At 40.5% G+C, this 22,314-nt stretch overlaps 1 long non-coding RNA gene and 1 pseudogene across 3 annotated transcripts in view; one reads left to right on the top strand and one right to left on the bottom strand.

Moving 5' to 3' along the window:
• The window catches only part of LOC105370269 (uncharacterized), a 44,572-nt gene extending 28,976 nt beyond the window's left edge, over positions 1-15,596 (top strand). Inside the window, exons 2-4 of one of the 2 annotated variants that reach the window (XR_001749929.1) lie at positions 4,881-4,991; positions 14,802-14,833; positions 15,441-15,596. This is a non-coding gene — a long non-coding RNA (uncharacterized LOC105370269). Of the gene's footprint in view, positions 1-4,791; positions 4,992-14,801; positions 14,834-15,440 lie in introns of those variants that run through there. The other variant, XR_942104.2, reaches the window with a different exon arrangement.
• Positions 15,597-18,661: 3,065 nt separating this feature from the next.
• BTF3P11 (basic transcription factor 3 pseudogene 11) lies at positions 18,662-19,301 on the bottom strand (annotated as a pseudogene). The gene has a single exon (NR_026983.1). The product of NR_026983.1 is annotated as a basic transcription factor 3 pseudogene 11 (transcript).
• Between the last annotated feature and the right edge of the window lie 3,013 nt (positions 19,302-22,314).

The following is a 22,314-nucleotide window of genomic DNA, read 5'->3' as shown; positions in this document are numbered from 1 at the left end:
AACAATCAAATGCCCTCAAATCGGTTAGGTAAAATGTGACGTGCAATATTTAATGTACACACCCATTTTCCCCTTCCACTTCACCCTGTTGGTCACCATTGTCTAGAGACAAATGTGCCATCCAGAAGTTTCTGGCAACTTGAGATTAAGAACCTGGAAGGGCATTGGGGGTTAATGAACTTTTCCCCAGCTTGTACCCTTGCTCATTCCTGAATGGCTCTTTCCATATTTGTACATCTCTGATTCTTGATCCTCTGCCTGGCTTCTGGAATGTAGTGCCTTCCTCCCTGCCATCCTGCTATTGCTGGAGTCTGCTTCAACACAGCTTGTCCAGGCCTCTTTGCCTATTATCGATCACTATGATATGGCTTGCCTGGAATTAACTCTGCTCCTCTGGGCAATTGCCACTTCCCCTGGATTGCCTACTTCTGGCCAATTGGTTTGCACTTACAGTGGGTACCAAAAACAAGTGATTTCAAATCTGAACCTGTTGTTCTAGATATGGTGGCAGAATTTGTCTTTGGAGAAGACAGCATTTAAATTATGGAGGAAATCTCCATGAGCCTTGAGGTTCCATTTCAATCCTATTAGGGAAGAGTTTGGGACAAAGGAGTTAAAATGCTCTGTGTAAAAATGCAAAAGCCCATCTTTCTTGTGGGTGGGGGGAATTCCCTCTTATCCTGGGATGGGTCAGCCTTTTTGTTTTATTCAGGTCTTCAACTGGTTAAATGAAGCCCATTCACCTTAGGGAGGAAAATCTGTTTTACTCAATCTATTGATTTAAATGTTAGACTCATCCAAAACATTATCACAGAAACACCCAGAGTAATGTTGGACCAGCTATCTGGGCACCATGTGGCCCAGTTAAGTTGACATAACCATCACACATAGCAATAGATAGTTAATAAAGCTCCAAGCTGATAATATGACTTATAAGGGCCCTTATAAGACTGTAGTTATCTCTTCATGCTCAAATCAAGCTTAGCGTCTGCCACCCACCACCCATTATGGGGCCATGATTTTTATTGTCTAAGGGACCTTTGTAGCAACGATTCCCTCTTACTTCTTATGTCTTCTCTCCCTACCCTTCTACCTTTTTCTTCTCCTTCACTCTACAACTTCCCTTTTCTTATCTTTCATCTAAGCTAGTGGTCTTAACTGGGGATGAGTTTGTTCCCAGAGGACATTGGGCAATGTCTGGAGATATTTTGGTTGTCACCAAATTGTGGCATCTTATGGGTAGAGTCCAGGTATGTTGCTAAACATTCTACAATGTACAGTACAACCCCAACAACAAAAGAATTACCAGGCCCAAAATGTTAACAGCACCAAAGTTGAGAAAACCCTGTCTAAAGTTTTACACAATTTTTACTTTAGGAAGTTACATCTAGGGCTGGGCTCATGCTTGTAGTCCCAGCACTTTGGGAGGCTAAGGCAGGAGAATCACATGAGCCCAGGAGTTTGAGACCAGCCTGGGCAGCATAATGAGACTCCATTGTGGCAGGCCAGGTCTCACTAACCCAGGCCTACATAACAACTGTTTCAGCACTGACTGAGTGGTTAGGTTAAATGTTAAAAGCTGATAGAGGCAGTGCCCTCATACAAAGGCTAGAATGCAACAAAAGCCCACCAAGAGTTTTGCCTAGGCTTTTCCCGGGTCTTATAGCATGACAAAATAATGAAGGAAGTCTTAACAGGACCCATTTAGGATTAAACAAGTTTTCTTGTGGGTCTGAAGGAACTCCTCAGACCTTCACAAACAAGCTTTACTGGGGACTAGAGGAACTCTCCAGACTTCCATGATCTTGCCTCCATCAGACAAATTAAGGGTAATCACTCCAGCACCTGAATGCATTTAGATTAAGTAAATTTACTGAGGCTCCAGAGGAAGGTCTTCAGGACTCAGATCTTAGTCATAGATTAGAAGAAGTTAATCATGTATGTCTTTAGATGAATGCACACTTACACACAGACATATCGCTTAAAAGGTATATAAGCTCTGGGAAACTTTGTAATTTTGAGTTGGTCTGGTGATAATTTCCAGGCCTTCTCCCTGTAACTGGTTACAGAAATAAAAACCTCGCTTCTTTCCCAGTTCATCTGCATCTCATTATTGGGCCATGAGAATAAGCAGCCCGACCCTCAGTTTGGTCCAGAAACACTGTCTCTACAAAAAAAAAAAAAGGAAGAACTACATCGAAGAGCCCACCACAACATCCTAAGTTTAGGTTATGTGCCCTACCTGTATGTTCCCAGGGGATATAAGTTTCCCCTCTTTGTACCCTTTGTTAGATAGGAACATTCTTTTTAGGCAGGGAACTGATCTACCCTGTTGATCACAATATCCCAGGGTCTCACACACAACTTCACACATAGGTGGTGCTCAGTAAATGTTGAATGAATTAATGCAAACCTGATGCTTTCAATTAGTCAGTCATATTAACTCATGCCCTCATCCCCAACAGAAATGTGTCAGGAGAATCTATTGTTTATTTTTTTTGAGACAAAGTCTTGCTCTGTCACCCAGGCAGGAGTGGAGTGGCACAATCTCGGCTCACTGCAACCTCTGCCTCCCAGTTCAAGCAATTCTTGTGCCCCAGCCTCCTGAGTACCTGGGATTACAGGAACCCACCACCACACCTGGATAATTTTTATATTTTTAGTAGAGACAGGGTTTTGCCATGTTGGCCAAGCTGGTTTTGAACTCCTGACCTCAGGTGATCTGCCCACCTCGGCCTCCCAGAGTGCTGGGATTACAGGTGTGAACCACCACACCGAGCCGAGAATCTATTTTTTAATGGCTGTGGCTTTTATCCTGTTCTGGAGTGCTGGTCTGCCAGCAAATAGAATACAATGAATAGATCTTTATCTTCATCCTGATAACAGCAGCTCCCCTATAAGGGATGCTTGTGGGAGAATGTGAACTGTCAGAGTAAACTGGAAATATTTGAAACAACAAATCAGGAATGTGAGAATAGAGACTATTTTGAAAAAAGAAAAGCCATTTAATTTGTTTAATTTTGTCCAAAATAGCTGATTACAGTCTTTGAATTTCAGTTTCCTTTTTTTCTGACTTGCCCTTCTTTGCCACTATTGGGCAACATCGGATGAGTCAATCTCTGGATTGTTATGATTAAGTTTCATTTGATTGTAAGCCAATGTTTTAGGAGAAAATACAGCGGTAGCAATCAGGGTTCATTTCCCCGATTAATTTTTTGTTAATTCATTTGGGTCATTGAAACGTACTTACCATGAGAATGGTTTTATAAAAGATGAAACTTGGGGCAAATTGTGTTTAATTTCTTTAAAATAACAACAGCAACAATTATCAACAATTACCAAAATTGTTTCCACCTTAGGCCATTATCTATATGCCATTGTTCTGGTTCCATTTTTCCCAGCCCTTAGGACAGCATCACATTTTTCTTTTCTTCTCTTCCTTTCTCTTCTCTTCTCTTCTTTGCTTTTCTTCCTCTTTTTTTTTTTTTTTTTTTGTCAGAGTTTCGCTCTCGTCGCCCAGGCTGGAGTGCAATGGCACCATCTTGACTCACTGTAACCTCTTCCACCTCCTGGGTTCAAGTGATTCTCCTGCCTCAGCCTCTGGAGTAGTTGGGAATACAGGCCCGCACCACCACGCCTGGCTAATTTTTGTATTTTTAGTAGAGATGGGGTTTCACCGTGTTGGCCAGGCTGGTCGACAGCATCACATTTTAACAAGGAAGGTGTAAAATATTAAGAAACTATATTTAAAAACGAATATTTAGGAGAATGCCTCATAGAGTCAGTGTTTATTTTGTATGTATATGTACATTGTGCCTTTGTTTTATTAAACTTTGTATGGAATTTTTTAAGCGTACAGGAAGGGATTAAGTTGCAGGGACTATAAAGTGAGGAATCAGTACAATTGAATGGCTGTGTGGCTGTAAAAGCATTGCTTAAATATGACTGTCTCAACATATTTTATTGTGAAGAAATCTTTACATTTGTGAAAGCTCAGCATGGTTATGATGCATTCTCCAAATCATTCTACCTTGAAGAAAACTATTGTTTGTTGCTTTCTCATAAGCATCAAATAGACTGTTAGTGTTTCTTAGTTAACTAGCAAACATTGAGTGATTATCCATGGGCTGTATTGCCCTGTACCAAATGTCTGCTAAAAACAGAGTAAGATGGATTGATGCCTTATTTGAATAAATCCAGCAGACTTTAAAAAATATTCCATGCAGAAATTGTTTATGCACATTTAGCAGACAGAATGGAATTGAGGTAGTTTGTGCTCTTTTAAACTTAAATATAGAATTATCCCAGACTTTAAAAGCAATATAGTTAAATATCTCAACAGCAGAAATCTAGTTACATTCTTTTGATATTCCCATTTCAAACCAGAGACTCTATTGGAATATCAAGTCTTTTTTTTCATCTCAGAGCAATTTTCTACAATTTTCTGGATTCCATTTCTTCTTTATTTCTCTTTCTGAATATAGATTATTATGACTCTGGATTTTTTCTCCTTGTCTCCACTTGAGTTTTATAATCTCCATAGTTTTGCATAGAATTTCCATTCAGTGTTCTGGTAGAATTGTATGACTTGGTCTTCTAATCACTAATTTGTTCCTCAGTTGTGCTCATTTGGCTTTTCAGCTCCTAATATGTTTCTTATTTTGGCAACCATGTTTTTCTTTTATACTAACTCTTGTTCTCTGATGAACATTTTACATAGCAGTGTTTTCTTATGATATGTCATAATGGTTTGTGATCCTAATGTCTCAAAAGGGAGTCACTCATGTCAAGCTGCATTAAGCCCACAGTGAAGCTGCACCTGCCTCAATGTGATAAACATACATGTAATGGACAGAGGTAATAGCACCTGTTGTCACCAGGTACCACCGAAGACCTGGACTGAACCCAATAGAAAGTGAAAAGTGGCTGAGGATTATAAAAGCAGCAAAGACCAGGCCTTCTCAGAGATGCCTTTGGAGACTCTGCCCGGGGTAAGTCTGAGACCTTCTCCTGTCTTGGTGGATGTCAGCAGAGAGAAGCAGTGACCCTACCAAGGACTCAGGACCCACTTGACTGGTGTGTTAACCATTGGTCACCAGCACGGTTGCTGTGGTTTGTTACCTGCCTCTGATTATTCCCTGTGCGTTGATATTAATTGCATGGTTGGTGGTGTGTGAAGTCCTCTGTATAAACAGTGAATTTGATCACATGTAATTGGCTATTGAGACATTGTGAAAGTGGAAGCTTCTGTTGGAGTTAGTGCCCGTAAGTGTGAACTTAATTAACATATCCATTGGCATGGCCGGTAATATCTTGTTTTATGAATCTTGTAACTTCTCAGTGTCTTTGAGAAAATTACTTCAAATATTAAATACAAGTTTTCTTCTGGGACCTTTTACAAGGCTTCTTCATCTTGGCACCTCTCTTTCATGCTGTTGGTTTTATTCATGTCCAGTGATTCTGCATTGTTCTTTCATATATTGACAAATACAGATTAAGTCAGATTGTAGTGTTGGGACATGACCCTCAACTGCAGGATTTCTCTGACTGCTGTCGACCTGCCTCTGTGTCCTCAATTCCCCAAGCTAAAATGACCACCCTTAGGCTTGGAGATCATGGAGTTTGCTGGTCATTTCTTAAGGAAGCTCTTAAACTCAGCTAAAGTGAGAGGCACTGGTCAGGGTGCCAAAAGAGCAAGGCTAACTGTTCAGCCACGCTTTCATATTACAGTGTTAACATTTAAAAAATATGCAGGTCACAGACCTACAGAGAGAGCTTCAGGTTTACTCACTATTATCTCTTTTTAATTAATTAATTTATTTTTGAGACAGAGTCTTTTTCTCCCAGGCTGGAGTGCAGTGGCACAGTCATAGCTCGCTGTAACTCCAAACTCCTGGGCTTAAGTGATCCTACCACGTCAGCCTCCCAAGTAGCTGGGATTATAGGTGTGAGCCTCTCACCCTGCCTCTGTCATCTCATTTTGGATTACACTAAACGTTAGAATATTCCGTGTCTGCTGTGGGTCCAATCGGCTGTGGTCAGGGCTGCTGGAGTCTCGTGGGACTTCCGTGGTCACTTCGTTTTCAGAGGGGACGGTGGCATGCCACGCATTATTGGGCTTGGCTCTTCAGTTATGATGATATTCCCTTAAGAACTGTCATCATCTGCTTTTCTTTTCTTTCTTTCTTTTTTTTAGAGACAGAGTTTTGCTCTGTTGCCAGGCCTGGAGTGCAATGGTGCGATCTCGGATCACTGCAACCTCTGCCTCCCGGGTTCAAGCAATTCTCCTGCCTCAGCCTCCTGAGTAGCTAGGACTACAGGCATGTGCCACCACACCCAGCTAATTTCTTTTGTATGTTAGTTAGAGACGGGGTTTCACCGTGTTGCCCAGGCTGGTCTCAAACTCCTGAGCTCAGGTCTCGAACTCCTGAGCTCGGCCTCCCAAAGTGCTAGAATTTCCTGAGCTTGGCCTCCCAGAGTGCTAGAATTACAGGCATGAGCCACTGTGCCCGGCCTGCTTTTCATATTTTTTCATGTGGCTTTGACTGTCCCATTTAGTAAATCATAGATCATTAAGCAAGATATTTTGTTGCTATCTTGGTGATTTTATCCCCTTCTCCATTTGTATTTTTATGGTTGTTGGGGCTCAGAAAACAATACCTTCAAATGAAAGCCTCAGAAGCAGCCTCAGAAGCAAAGTCTGTCTCCAACCTTTTGCCCTCCTGTCTCTCGCCCCTCATTCTCCCTGAGGCAAAGCATAGAAATTAGAACCTCTTTTCCCTAAAGCCAGCCATAGAGCCTAAAAATATTCCTCTAACCTTCCCCCACATTTCTGTGTAACAACTGGCCATAAAGAAATTAAGACTCTTGTTTCAGGCTGGGCACAGTGGCTCATGCCTGTAATCTCAGCACTTTGGGAGGCCAAGGCAGGCAGATTGCTCGAGCGCAGGAGTTCAAGACCAGCCTGGGCAACATCGTGAAATCCCATCTCTACAAAAAATACAAAAGTTAATTGGGTGGTGACACACACCTGTAGTCCTAGCTACTCGGGATGCTGAGGTGGGAGAATTGCTTGAGCCAGGGAGGCAGAGGTTGCAGTGAGCTGAGATCGTGCCACTGCACTCCAGCCTGGGTGACAGAGTGAGAACCTGTCTCAAAAAAAAAAAAGACTTTCATTCACAGCGGTTCTACCCAGGAGAAAGGAGTGCTGCACAGAGAAGCCAAGAAGAATCTGGGCATGCAGGCCTCTCTGGGTTTCCCCCACTGAGTCTATTCCCATTAGCTCATACCCTTTTTGTCCAATCCCCTTTCTAAATGGTTGTCCCTACGTCATAGAACCTAAGCGTAAAAATGAACAGTTTCCCTTGTATTTTTAGGCCTCCATCCTGAAAACTTCCATGTCACATAAACCTATGATCAAGTGTACTTGTTATGCTTTTCTCTTGCTAATTTCTCATTTGTTATAGGTGTATTGGCTACAACCTTTATGATGGGAAAGAGGGATCACCTGGGTGATAAATGAGAATTCTAAAAATGGCTTTGTGAAATTAGAGGAGAGGGAGTAAGGAAGGGAGAGAGAGAAGGGGCAGGAGAGAGAGAGAATCACAAAGAGCCATCAGCTGATTGCTGAGTCTGGACTCCATGGAAACATTACCCATGGGCTTATCTTGGCGAGTGACCACATATTCACAGGACTAGTTATCAGCTTTGCAGGGATTGATTCAATCCCAAAGTTGACTAGAATCTTGGGGACTGACTCTAGTAATCCAAGTCACATGAGAATGAAGAATCAATCAGAATTCCAATTTATTAATTTACATTGATCAGAATTTTATCATTTCTAATATGTACAGGAGTGTGTTCTTGAGGCCCTTCTCTATATCAAGGTGCCTGGGAAGGCAAGTTAACAATGCTCACTTGGTTAGTAGGGAAAGAATGAGTGCTGAGGGCTCCCTCACACAGATCACTGAGAAGCCATGATATCGTCTATCTCCCTGGTGCCCAAAACATATGGGTCCACAAGATTCTCTGCTATATGTACTTTTCCAATTTCTTATTTTGCTTCTCATAAATTATCTTTATTTTGCTAACCTTTTAGCCTTTGTGAAAACATAGCATGAACTTACAGCACAATGCAATCACACATTCCTGGATTTTAAATTTATACCCCAACACATTACCCTTGTTTTGTGAGTGGGTAAGTGAGATCTGTACCCTCCAAGTGAATTACACAAAATAACACCGTCTCTGAATATTATAGGGATGACAGCTAATACAAAAAGCTCACTATCATCATGTTTCAATGTGAAAAATTCTTGTCAGTTGAAATATTTGTCATGACTCATTCAAAGTATGCAAATTAGCTATGCATTTCAACATCTTAATACTTCCTCCAAATTTTAGGAAAAGAGTTAGAATTAATGTAGCCTCTTGTGATGTTTCGAAGGCTTGGTACCTTCCGTATGACTACTTGGGTTCTGCCTTCCAGAATTCCTACTTCATGTAGCTCCCTTCCTCCTTCCCTTCTTTTTTACCCCTTGGTATCCACTAAGAACATATTTCCCCACCCTCACCGTTTAACATTATTAATAAAATCTAGTTTGCAAAGATTTTCAAACTTTCTGACTATGGCTTTATATTTTGAATTAGTATTACCTTTTTCCCCACAAACTAAAAAAAAAAAAAAAAATCCTTCTTGCTCTTAGATGTGTGAAAATAGGAAAAGGAATGGTAGAAATCAACAGAAAATCTTTTATACATGAGAAACACTGCTAAGGACTGTGCATGTGGAAGAATAAGATGGTAGGGAAATACAGTTAAAAACAAAATCTCCTCCCAGCCCAGAAATCCTCTCTATTGAGAAAGCAGAGAAAGAAAACACATTTATTATTCAATAAGCGTTAAACCAGAATGTAATGCACATCACAGGCAATCCTCTATGAGATGGCAAAGACAGAAGTCTCATCCTTTTATATAACCAAGCAGATACAACCCACTACCTGCATGTTGTCAAGATAAACAATAACTAGTTCTCAAGAAGACATGACAGCACCATTTGTCACACAGCTCATTCTAACTTTACTTGATAATTAGGGTGACCATCTGTATTAGCTAATTTTCTAGAGAAAAACAAATTTCATATCATGGTGACAGGATTGCTATAAAGATAGTAGTTTTTCAACATGGAGGCACCCATCAAAGTTAGGCATTCCCGTGTTGTGTGTGAGGTGGCCCTCAGCATCCATTCTTCCTTTAACTAACCGAGTGAACATTGATAACTTGCCTTTCCAGGCACCTTGATACAGAGAACGGTCTAATAGCAGACTCCTTATAGACACTAGAAATGATAAAATTCTGATCAATATAAATTAACAAATTGGAATTCTGCTTGACTCTTCATTCTCATGTAACTTGGGTTAGTGAGAGTGAGTCCCCAAGATCCTGGTCAACTTTGGGTCCACTGATTGACTCAAGCCCTGCAAAGCTGATAACTAGTCCTGTGACAATATCAGCCCATGGTTAATGTTCCATCTCATTTTCCTCTGTATCTATAGTATCTATTATCTACCACATTCTGGGTGCTGAATGAATAAATATGGATCCTGGGTGCATATGGCAGTTCCAAGTCCTCATCCCATTCTGGTCTTTAAACAGTTGAGAAGTAATATTTCAGTCTTGAGAGTGACATTCTGCTTGCATGTCCTAAATTGGACAACAGGGACTTCCCTGAAGGGTTTAGAATTGCCCTGTCTCCAAAGACTTCTGGAATTTTAGGGACCAGTTTCAGCTCAGGCACTCACCTTAGGATAGGATGAAACCTGGGGTGGGACCAGTTGCTATCAGGGAGTAATGAGGGGGAGTTTAGAGAGGCCAGGTGGCCTTCTTGGGAAAATGCCTTCATGTCGTCAGCTGCATGTCCATGGCTGGATCCAGCTTTAGTACTGAGGATTTACAGGCAATCTGCCACCGGGGAAATGACAGTCTCACTAACAAACTGGTGAGAGTCTGATGCATAGATCAGAATGCCAACGTATCATTTTAGTTCCTTTATATTGCAAGGCTAGTTTCTTTCATTATCTGGGGTCCTTCCCTATAGCAACATGGCTGGGAAGCCAGATGAGTCATGGAATGTTGCTTGCCAAATGTGGAACTGGAATGAAGCAGTGGGAGGGTGTATTAGTCATGGTTCTCCAGAGAAATAGAACTAATAGGATATATGTAAACATATAAGAGATTTATTATGGGGATTGGCTCACATGATTATGGAGGCCAAGAAGTCCCACAATCTGCCATATGTAAGTTGGAGAACTAAAAGATGGTGTAATTCAGTCCAAGTCTGAAGGCCTGAAAAGCAGAAGCTCCAACATCCTAGGGCAGGAGAAGATGCAAGTGCCAGCTCAAGAAGGAAGAGAGCAAATTTGCTCTTCCTTTGACATTTTGTTCTATTTAGGCCCTCAATGGCTTGGATGATGCCCTCCCACATTGGTGAGGGCGGATCTTCTTTGCTCAGTCTACTGATTCAAATGCTCATCTCTTCTAGAAACACCCCCACAAACACACTCAGAAATAATGTTTTACCAGCTATCTGGGCATCCCTTAGCTCAGTCAAGTTGATACATAAAATTAACCGTCACAGGATTGGAGGGACATTTACCAAGGCCTTGGGAAAGCCAGTTGGAAGTCCCTGCCCCAACATAGCAGATACTTCTCTGTTGGTATTTGCCAGATACAAATTCTCCCCAGTTTATGCTAGTTAGCTTCTGTTCCTTCTTTGTCTTTGTTCCCCTTTTAAAATTCCATACTAATCATTCACCTGTTGTTGCAACACTCAGACACGTGACAGCACATAGTTGTTAGGCCATCTTTTCAGTATAGTTCTTGCAAGAGATTAAACTTGAGTTCTTGTAACTGGTAAGATGGCAGCTTAACAGTTATGGCACATCTTCAGACATAGTGGCACATTGTGTCTCCCTGAGGCCATGCCAATTCTTGGAAGTCTCTTGTTTCATCTAATACTTGGTATGGGTCATTTGTACACAACTCAGTCATTGTCATGGATTTGGCTAGTTTAATCTGTATTTCTCAGTTCTGAGGTGGCTTATGTTGCTTCAATGTGCCAATAACGAGGATTAGGCCCAGTAGTATATGGAGTTGATCATGTCTTAAAGTATCAAAATCTTCGGGTAAATAATTAGTAAAAAGTTGAAGTATGAATAGGAAATCATCTGAGGAATGAGATGATTAAAAAAATAAAACAAGTCCAAAAGCAAGAAGTCTCAAGTCTTCTGCCACCATCCATGAAACTGCGATAGGCTTACCCGTTAGCTTGCACGTAGGGCAACATCTCAGACCGTTCTCAGTTCTTGACAAAGCATCCTGAAGAAGGAAAATGTGCTTCTGAATTGCACAAAGGCACCCTATGTACTAGCAACAGCTTGGAAGGAACTAAGTCTAGAGCATAAATATGAAGAATAAAGAACCTGGGCCAGGCACGATGGCTCATGCCTGTAATCCCAGCACTCTAGGAGGCCGAGGTGGGAAGATCACTTGAGGTTAGGAGCTCTAGACCAGCCTGGGCAACATGGTAAAACCCTGTTTCCACCAAAAAAATAAAATCCATTAGCCAGGTGTGGTGGTGCACACCTGTAATCCCACCTACTTGGGAGGCTGAGGCAGGAGAATCACTTGAACCCAAGAGGCAGAAGTTGTAGTGAGCTGAGATCGTGCCACTGTACTTCAGCTTGGGCGATAGAGTGGGACTCCATTTCCAAAAAAAAAAAAAAAAAAAAAAAAGAATGTGGAGATGATGAATAAGCACGGACTGTGTTTTCCTATCCTTGAGTTTCTCATTTACCTGCAGTTGGGCCCATCACAACTTCCAGGATCAATGCTGACAAACTTAAAAGATGCAAGACACTCAACCCTGGACACTAATAAACTCACTTTGAGGAGATTTTGGAACTCTGATGCCTAGGTAATGCCCCAGACCAATGAAACAGACTCTGGGGGTAGAACCCAGGTACCGGTATTTTAGAAAGCTCCCCAGGTGATTCCATTTGCAGCTAAGGTGAGAGCCAGTGGTGCGGCCTTAAGTTCTGAGAGTTACTGATGATGATACATCCTTGTGGGTGGCCAGCACACACACATCTCCTAATGTGTACCCCAGAGATTTAAGGTGTGTTCCTTTTTTCTGATACGTACCTGACTTTGGGCAGAGTCCTGCCCTTTCCCTAGTTCTATCCTACTCTTGCTTGGTCTTTCTCTAGGACCCATAGATCTCTTCAGATGGCTCCTCTTATCTGCTTGCATTTCTGACTTTTGTCTAATCTCTCACAAGTTGTGTTAAACTTCTTTGGTTTATTGGTTAATTTGTTCAGTTAATTCTTTCAAAACCCTAAGCACTGAAAGAAATATGGAACCCTTATTTTCTTTCCCCACACTTGTAATAAAAATATTTATTAAGCACTTACTATATAGAAGGCATTATTCTAAGAGCTTTGCAAATCTGATGTAATATTTAATTCTAACAAAAAATCCATTATCCCCATTTTATAGATGATAAAACTGAGGCAATGCAAGATGAGTAAATTCCAAAGTTATCTAGCTGTTACATGGTAGAGCCAGGACTTAGAGACAGGCAGTCTGGCTCTAGAGATTACACCAAGTCATACTAACCAATAACATTAATATGAAGAACCCGAATAATGTGATTTTCAACATGATATCTATTTTCATGTTTTCTTGAAAAATGTTATATTCTTCACAAATTTTTTTCTCATTATTTTAGTGTCCCTGTTTAGTGGGTACCTTAAGCACATGCCTATCTCTGTGTTGGGCAATCCAGCACTGCTCTACTAACCCCTGTCAGACTTCCCTCCTGCTGACTGCTGGTTTCAATGACATCCATATGCTCAGATGTAGGGAATGCTCCTGCCTGATGAAATTTCAGCCAGAGCTGGTGGCAGGGTCTGCTTTTCCAGGGCCCACTCACCAGTGTGGGCAGATTTGTTAAGTGCTCCTTTCCTGCAGTTAACTTAGCCATGGCCAGACTGTCCTGGATGTCTCAGACCCAAGAGAGCCTTGATTTCTGTCTTAATAGTAAACAATAAAATCGGTCCATGTTGGCAGGAAATTTACTTTAGAGCAGGGTGTTAATTTTTCAGAGCAGTGGTTCTCAAACATTTTGTGCATCTGAATCCTCAGGCTGTCTAGTGCAAACACAGATTACTGGGCCTTAACCCAAAGTTTCTCATTCAGAATGTCAGGGGTGTGCCCTGAGAATTTGCATTTTTGGATAAGTTTCCAGGTGATGCCTGGGCTGCTGGTCCCAAGACGACACGCTGAGAACCATCGCTTTAGATCTGTGCTGCTGAAATGTGGTCCAGACTAGCAGTGTCGGCATCACCTGGGAACTTGCTAGATATGCAGAATCCTGGGCCACAGCCCTAATCAGCCCCTACAGAATCAGAATCCATGTTTAACAAGTTTCTGAAAATGTAATTTATATGCACATTCAAATTTGAGAAGCACAGGTTTGGGTCACCTGTCTTGATCCCATTCAGGACTTTCAATGTCAAACAAAGGAAAACCTTATTTGACAGCAATATCTGAAATAGTTGTAGCATTAAACTATATTCTGGCCACAAAAAAGATGTAAGAAGATGATATGGGTGATTTGGGGCAAATCTGTCAGAACTCACTCCAAATGGCTCAGCGTTATGTCCTTCCGACAGAGGAAGGGTAATGTCTTCATATTAATAACAATTTAAAAGACTGTTAATATGCACATGCTCAATGCAGCTAATTCCGGAAGAAAAAAAGAACTTTAAAAAATAGTTTTGGCTCCTTTTTTATCAGTAAAACTATAGATTCACATAAAACATATACTCAATTTAAAGGAATACTTTGCAAATCAGAAATGAAAGCTGTTTGTTCTGGGTCACTGACGGTAAAAAGTGGGAAAAAGGGAAGCCCTTTTTTTTTTTTTTTTTTTTTTTTTTTTTTTTTTTTTTGAGACAGAATCTCGCTCTGTAGCCCAGGCTGGAGTGCAGTGGTGTGATCTTGCCTCACTGCAACCTCTGCCTCCTGGGTCCTGGTTTGAGCAATTCTCTAGCCTCAGCCTCCCGAGTAGCTGGGATTACAGGCATGTACCACCATACCCAGCTAATTTTTGTATTTTTAGTACAGACAGGGTTTCACCATGATGGCCAGGCTGGTGTTGAACTCCTGACCTCGTGATCTGCCCACCTTGGCCTCCCAAAGTGTTGGGATTACAGGCGTGAGCCACCGCGCCCGGCCTGGGAAGGCTATTTTCACTATTACCTTTACATTTTGGAAAAAGGACAAGCAGACAAGATAAAATGTATCAAGCTTGTTTTTTTAAAAAAGTTTTAAAACATTTGTGAAGAATATAACATTTTTCAAGAAAGCATTGTCACTTTTCCTGATTCTTGATAAGAATGTGTGGATTTTGAAAGTCAAAGGATGAATGATCAATGTCCACATATAGTGAGAGAAAATAATTTGCATCCATCAACAGTTTCTGAGATATTGTGTGTGAGAATCTTCAAGCAATATCAAAAAAGCTGCTACTTCAAACCAAAAATGTGAAAATGGCTTCATTTAATATTACTGAAATATAAAATCTAAGTGCTACAAAAGTATGAAACTTAATAAGAAATAACAATTTTGAGTGCTTACTGTGTGTCTGAAACTAAGCTAAGTGCTTTATTTACACTGTGCACAATCTCATTGAATCTTTACTGAAACCTTTTGGTTCTATGGTTGGTTGTATTTTACAGATAAGGAAACTGAAGCTCACGGAAGCTTATGAGTGAGTGTATATCCATATGTACTTATTTATTCATGTATATTTCAGTTATAGACATTCTATGCAACCTATCTCTTAAAGAAATTATTATTAGCTTATTTTTCCCAAATGTTGCTTGTAGAAGGATAAAGAGAAAAACTTTCAAAGATTTACAGTTGACCCTTGAACAACATGAGTTTGAACTGAGCAAGGCCACTTATATGTGAATTTTTTTCAATAAATATATTGGAATTTTTTTGAAGTTTTATGGCAACTTGAAAAGACTCACAAATAAACCCTGTAGACTAGAAATATTGAAAAAAATTAAGGAAAAGCTAGGCATGTCATGCATGCATAAAATGTATGTTGATACTAGTCTATCATTTACTGCAACAAAATATACACAAATCTATTAAAGAAAGTTAAAATTTATCAAAACTTATGCACACACGCAGACCGCACATTATGCCATTTGAAGTTGAAAGAAATGTAGACATAAAGAATGAGTATTAAATCATAATTATAACTGCATAAAATCATCTTCACAAGAGCAATTCATCTCTCCAGTAAATTGGGTGTTACGGTAAAAAGTGATTTCTCACAGTTCTCATGTATTTCTTGTCGTGTTTAGTGCAATACCATCAACCGTGGATAACATCATGAGACCCATTCAAAATGCCATTAGTGATGCTGGAAATGCTCCCAAGAAGCAGAGAAAAGTCATGACATTACAAGAAAACGTTGGATTGTTTGATAATATGTACTGTAGATCATGATCTGCAGCTGTGGTTGCCCTCCATTTCAAGATAAATGAATCCAGCATAAGGATCATTGTAAAAAAAGAAAAGGAATGTTGTAAAGCCATTGCTGCAGCTATGCCAGTGGGTGCAGAAATCTTGCACTTTTGGTGAAATACCTTTTTTAAAATTATTTTTGTTTTTTTAAATTTTACTTTAAGTTCTGGGATACATGTGCAGAACGTGCAGTTTTGTTACATAGGTATACATGTGCCATGGTGGTTTGCTACACCTATCAAACTGTCATCTAGGTTTTAAGCCCCACATGCATTAGGTATTTGCCTAATGGCTCTCCCTGCCCCTTGCCCCCGGCCCCCCAACAGGCCCTGGTGTGTGATGTTCCCCTCCCTGTGTCCATGTGTTCTCATTGTTCAACTCCCACTTATGAGTGAGAACATGCAGTGTTTGGTTTTCTGTTCCTGTGTTGGTGAAATACCTTTTTATCTCACATTGAAAATGCAGCTTTTTATGTGGATGCGGGATTGCTATAAAAAAGGCATACCTATATACTAATATCATTCAAAAAAAGCAAAGTCATTATATAACAACTTAAAAACAAAATGAAGGTGAAGGGTCTAATGCTAGAGAATTTAGTGTCAGCAAAGGATGGTTTGATAATTTTACAAAGAGATTTGGCTTAAAAAATGTCAAGATAACAGGAGAAGCAGCTTCTGCCAATGAAGAGGCAGCAGATAAGTTTCCAGATGCCATTAAGAAAATCATTGAGGAGAATGGATATCTTCAAGAAGAGGTTTTTAAAATGCAGATCAAAGTGCTTTATTCTGGAAAAAAAATGCCACAAAGGGCATTTATTAGTAAGAAAGACAAGCGAACAACACGACTGAAGGCAGGAAGGAATAGGCTGACTCTACCATTTTATACAAATGCAGTTAGGTTTATGATTAGGATTGCCCTTAACTATAATACTGTTAACCCTTGAGTCTTGAAGGGAAAAGTTAAACACCAGCTGCCAGTCTTTTGGTTGTACAACAAGAAGGCCTGGACAATGAGAACCCTTTTTCTGGATTGGTCCCTTTGATGGTTTGTCCCTGAAGTCAGGAAGCACCTTGCTAGTAAGTGACTGAACTTAAAAGTACTTTTGATATTTGACAATGTCCCTGGCCACTAAGAACCCCATGAGTTCAACATGGAAGGTGTCAAAGGTGTCTACTTGCCCCCAAACACAGTGTCTCTAATTCACCCTCTAGCTCAGGGGTCATAAAGACCTTTAAGGCTCGTTACACACTGTACTCTATGGAAAGGATTGTCTCTATGGAAGAGTATCTGAGAGAGAGAACATTATGAAAGTCTGAAAGGCTTACCTGCCATTAAAGATGCTATTATTGGGATAAAAAGAATCCTGGGTCATTAAGCCTGAAATAATAAATTCCATTTGGAAAAAACTGTGCCCAGATGTTGCACATGACTTCATAGGATTTATGACAGAGACAGTCAAGGTAATAATAAAAGAGATTGTGGCTATGGCAAAAAGGGTAGGAATAAAGGGTTTCAAGATATAGATCTTAGAGAACTCCAAGAACTAGCAGACGTCACATGAAAGGAATTAATAGGAGATGACTTGATGGAGATGAGTGCTTCTGAATTAGCACCAGACAATAAAGAATAGAGGTCAAAAGAAGCAGGGCCAGAAAACAAATTGACATTAGACAACCTGGCAGAAGCCTTCCAATTAGTCAAGACTGCTTTTGACTTATTTTATGGCATGAACTCTTCTATAACATGAGCATTGAAACTAAAGCAAACATTGGAAGTGTTGTAGAATCCCAAATTCAGGCTCGTGTGCCCAATGTGCAGCTGGAGCCAAACAATGGGACATCGGTGCTTGGAGATAGAGAAAGGTTTTTTCAATTTGGCTAAAGTGAGAAGCCAGGAGAACAAGCTCTCTCAAATCTATCTTAACAAAAAGATGAAGCAGAGAGTTTTTATGCAGCTGGAGAGTAAGGGAGGGGGAGTTTCAGGGAACCCAGGGGAAAAGTCTGTCTTCAGTCTCAGATAACACCTTGAGCAGCCAGATTTCTGGGTGTCAGCAGCTGGTTGAAACATTCTTAAAGGCATTCATTTCTTCTACAAAAATGTTTTGTGACCCTGAAGTTATTTCCCTCTGCTTGACAAAGAAATAGTACATCAGCAGTTTATAATTGTATTGTGGGGAAAAAGGGATATTGGTCAAAGAGGGAGTGGTTAACATGTGCAAGCAAGACAAGACAGGACCTGACCAGAATTTTCATGATTTCAGTCACTAAAAATACAGGGGTACTGAAATCTAAAGGGGCCTAGTTGTAGAAGGATTAGTACCATATAGAAACATTTAGATAAATTAAAAAGCAAAACCAAAAAATAATCAGACGGAATTAACAATGTATTTCCATAAAGTTACATGGTGATATAGTGTGGCCATGTCACCATGCAAATCTCACCTTGAATTGTAATAATCCCTATGTGTCATGGGAGGGACGCTATGGGAGATAATTGAATCATGGGAGCGGTTTTCTCCATACTGATCTCGTGGTAGTGAATAAGTCTCACGAGATCTGATGGTTTTATAAGTGGGAGTTCCCCTGCATAAGCTCTCTCTTGCCTATTGCCATGTAAGACACGCCCTTGCTCCTCCTTTGCCCTCCACCATAATTGTGAGGCCTCCCCAGCCATGTGGCACTGTGAGTCAGTTAAACCTCTTCCTCTTTATAAATTACCCAGTCTCAGTTATGTCTTTATTAGCGTGAAAACGGACTAATACACATGTAACGTCCCTGCCTCTCCTGCCTCCCCTTCTACCTCCTTCACCCCTTCTGCCTCTGCCACCCCTGACACAGCAAGACCAACCCTCCTCTTCCTCCTACTTTTCAGCCTACTCAATGTAAAGATGACGAGGATGAAGACCTTTGTGGTGATCCACTTCTACTTAATGAATACTATATGTGTGTATGTGTATATGTGTATGTATTTATATATGTGTGTGAATATATGCATATATGTGTATGCATGTATATATGTGTGTACACATACACACACACACACAGGCACACACATATTTTACTAGGCAAAGAGCTTTATTAACCTTTGTTTCAAACTTTATTCCCAGGCTTCTTCAGCTTAATTAGCTGCAAAGAGTGAATTGTATATAAGCAAAAACTGAAAAGAGCTGCAGTGTCCAAGGGGCTTAAAAATATTAGAGATCTAGATTTTATTAGATCTGTAAACAAAACATTTTTAAAAAGCAGTCATAACATAAAACAGCAGCTCTCAGTAACTACTTCAAGTTTTATCTTCTTCAGAAGTTGACTTAATTCAGTTTGCCTCATTGTTGGAAGCCTCATCAGAATTCTCCACAAGATCTAGAACTTCATCATCCTCTCCAGTAGCAAGTGGTGCTTTTCCACCCACAGATTGTTTGGGCAGTGTTAGCCAGTCTCTTTGAACTAGTCAGACCATCTGCAGCACTGGTTTATGATCGATGCTGAGTAGCATTTCTGTCAGCTGCTTTGTCTCAGCATGGCCTGTCATGGTGAAAGTGTTTGCTGCCAGCGATGCCTGAACTTCAGGGTTGTTAAAGTGAATCACTGTTCCTTGGTGTGTAAACATATTCACCTCTTCAATACCAGGGATATTGTTTACCCCTAATTTCTTTAAGGAGAACTGAAATTTTTTATCCTCTGCTGTCGCTAGGTTTATGATCAGGACTACCCTTATGTATAAAACCGTTAACCTCTGAGCCTTGAAGGGACAAGATAAATGCCAGCTGCCAGTCTTTTGGTTGTACCAGAAGGCCTGGACAATGAGAACCCTTTTTCTGGATTGGTTCCATTGCTGTTTTGTCCCTGAAGTCAAGAAGTACCTTACCAAACTGACTTTTAAAGTTCTTTTGATATTGGCCAATGTCCCTGGACATTCAAAACCTCATGAGTTCAACACCAAAGGTGTCAAAGGGGCCTACTTGCCCTCAAACACAGCGTCTCAGATGCTGTGAACCACCTTTTTCCTGTGAGCAGTTCCTTTCCGACCAGTGTGCACTTCTGCTTGCCGTTTGGTGAGTTTTTGGTTCATGATTGTTTCTTTCATCTTATCTGAGTGGAAAAGGGGCTGCGTGGGGGACTAGGGTTGGCACTTGGGGAGTCCCGGGTGAGACCAGCTGAGATTAGAAGCACACAGGGAGGCAGGATGGCAGCTAAAGGAATACATTTTCTTTTCTCTAGCTTAATTTATTGTAATATAATACATACAATATATGTGTTAATCAACTGTATGTGTTATTGGTAAGGCTTCCAGTTAACAGTTAAGGCTATTAGCAAAGTTTTTGTGGAATCGAAAGTTATACCCAGATTTTTTACTGCATGGGAAGTCAGCACCCATAACCCCCATGTTGTTCAAGGGTCAACTGTACTTAATTTGCCTTTTATTAGGATGAAGAATGTTTCCTGAGACCCACTGTCTTGGTTTGGCCAGGACTGAGGTGTTTCATTGCTAAATCCAAGCGGGTTTCAGGACAATTGGCTACTCTACTGGGATTTCAGGGAAGGGACACATTGAGACTAAGCCTTTAAAATCAGATAGCTTGAGCTATCTCTAGTTTTAGTTAATAAGTGGCTTTTATGATTAAAGGGAACTAAAAGCTTCAAAGTGCCTTAAGGTCTATTCTTTTTTTTTTCTAGGTCATAAGGACCTATTTATTTATTTTATTTTACTTTTAGTTCCAGGTTACATGTTGAGAATGTGCAGGTTTGTTACATAGGTATACGTGTGCCATGGTGGTTTGCTGCACCTATCAACCTGTCACCTAGGTTTTAAGCCCCGCATGCATTAACTATTTGTCATGATGCTCTCCCTCCCATCGCGCCCCCTCCCTGCCCCGGCCACAACAGGTCCCAGTGTGTGTTATTCCCCTCTCTGTGTCCATGTGTTCTCTTTGTTCAACTCCCACTTATGAGTGAGAACATGCGGTGTTTGGTTTTCTGTTCCTGTGTTAGTTTGCCAAGGATGATGGCTTCCAGCTTCATCCATGTCCCTGCAAAGGACATGATCTCATTCCTTTTTATTCTTAATGGATTAATGAATGCTACATTTCCAATGCTAGAACTGGCTTGTTTTTTCCTTTTCTTTTTTTTTTTTCTCAGCTGTGTTTTTGGCCAAATGAGAATCACAGCGTGAAGCCACAGGATCGAACCTTTTGATTTGCCCTACCTACGAGAATACAGAGAAGGAATCAGCTTGTTTGATTCTGTAGACGTGTCTCAAAGCCTTTGTGCAGTTTGAATTTTTAAACTGACAAGTGAAGGAGCCTGCTTTGCTTGTAGTACATAAGCGACCCAACTGCAATTTTGAGTTGTGAGCTTATCTTTGGAATGCTGAGGTATCATGGTCTGGTGGGCCTTTGTTAGGCTAATTTCTGTCCTGGTAGATGAGGCTCATGCAGTATAAAGTTGAACCATAAATCTGTGTAAGGCAGACCCATGATTATTCATTTTTAAGGGAGGATATTTTTCCCTCCCACCTGTCCCCCACTACTGAGAGTCCACATGGAGATAGGCAAGCATTCTTGTTGACTCCTTGTGCTGGTTGGTGGGTAATTTTTCTAGTGTCTCTAGGACAGCCAGATAAAAATACAGGGTGTCCAGTTAAATTTAAATTTCAGATAAACAGCAACAAAAATTTCTAGGAGAAGTATGTTCCAGATAATGCATTGGACACACTTATATTAAAAGTTCATTTGTAATTCCAATTTAACTGGCCAGCCTATATTTTTATTTGCTAAATCTGGCAAGTCTGGGTATACCTTTTACTTAGGCTGAGGTCCTTTGTGGATTATAGCTTTATTTGGGGCCTCAGTGTAACTCCCCAAGTTAAGTGGGGTCTTCTGCTTTTATGAAGCCATTAAAACCTCAGCCTCAGGTTTGTAATGTTAGCATCAAACCGGAAAGCCTTTCACCAGCGTGACTGTTGCACTTTTTGTTCTCTAGCTGCCTGCTATAGTTTCCATCTCATTGTCTTTGGCCCCTGCAGTTCTCTTATTTTCTTCCAAGCTTAGGCATACATTCAAAAGAATATTTTATTTTGTTTGGGGTTTTCAGGTGTTTCAAAGTGTTCAAGTGAAGTTTCAAAGTGTTCAAGTGAAGTTTCAAACTTCAAATCAGGCTCTTGAACATATTCCCAATTCTGCATTCTTCTGGAAGAATTAGATGGATGGATTCTTCTGCAGTGTAAACAGCATAGAACATAGATATTAAGATCCAGGTTGAAAAAAATCCAACGACAGATTATCAGTTGATCTGCTCTTCCCTATAGTAGGAGATGGAAACCCTGACATGGGCTCTGTAACTATTCACTGAGGCCTCTGTGAGTATACTGGAGTGGGAAAAGTTAATACCCTGCTCTCTAGACTTCCTAAGCTATTCAGGGGGAAGGGGAGAGATATTATGCATGATCATGTGTATTTGACCTAGGTATAACGAAGTTGATAGTACAACAGGATACTTTGAAGTGAACTTTTTTTCTAAAACAAGTTTCAAAGACCAAAGGTGAAATATGGGAAGAAATAATTAAAGAGCACCGCATTAATTTAGGAAAATGTAATCTGTAAGTCCAGTTGACTTAATTGCTCAGGTTATGTTATACGTTATAGATGCATTATTGTCTCCAGATATTCCAAACCCTCCCTGCAGTACCTGTCCCTGGGAGGGCTACCCATTCCCT

The sequence above is a fragment of the Homo sapiens genome, chromosome 13, assembly GCF_000001405.40.
Source record: "Homo sapiens chromosome 13, GRCh38.p14 Primary Assembly".
In the NCBI taxonomy this organism is placed as follows: Eukaryota; Metazoa; Chordata; class Mammalia; order Primates; family Hominidae; genus Homo; species Homo sapiens.
The sequence above is the reverse complement of the archived record's forward strand: the minus strand, read 5'-3'. Positions and strand labels throughout refer to the sequence as shown.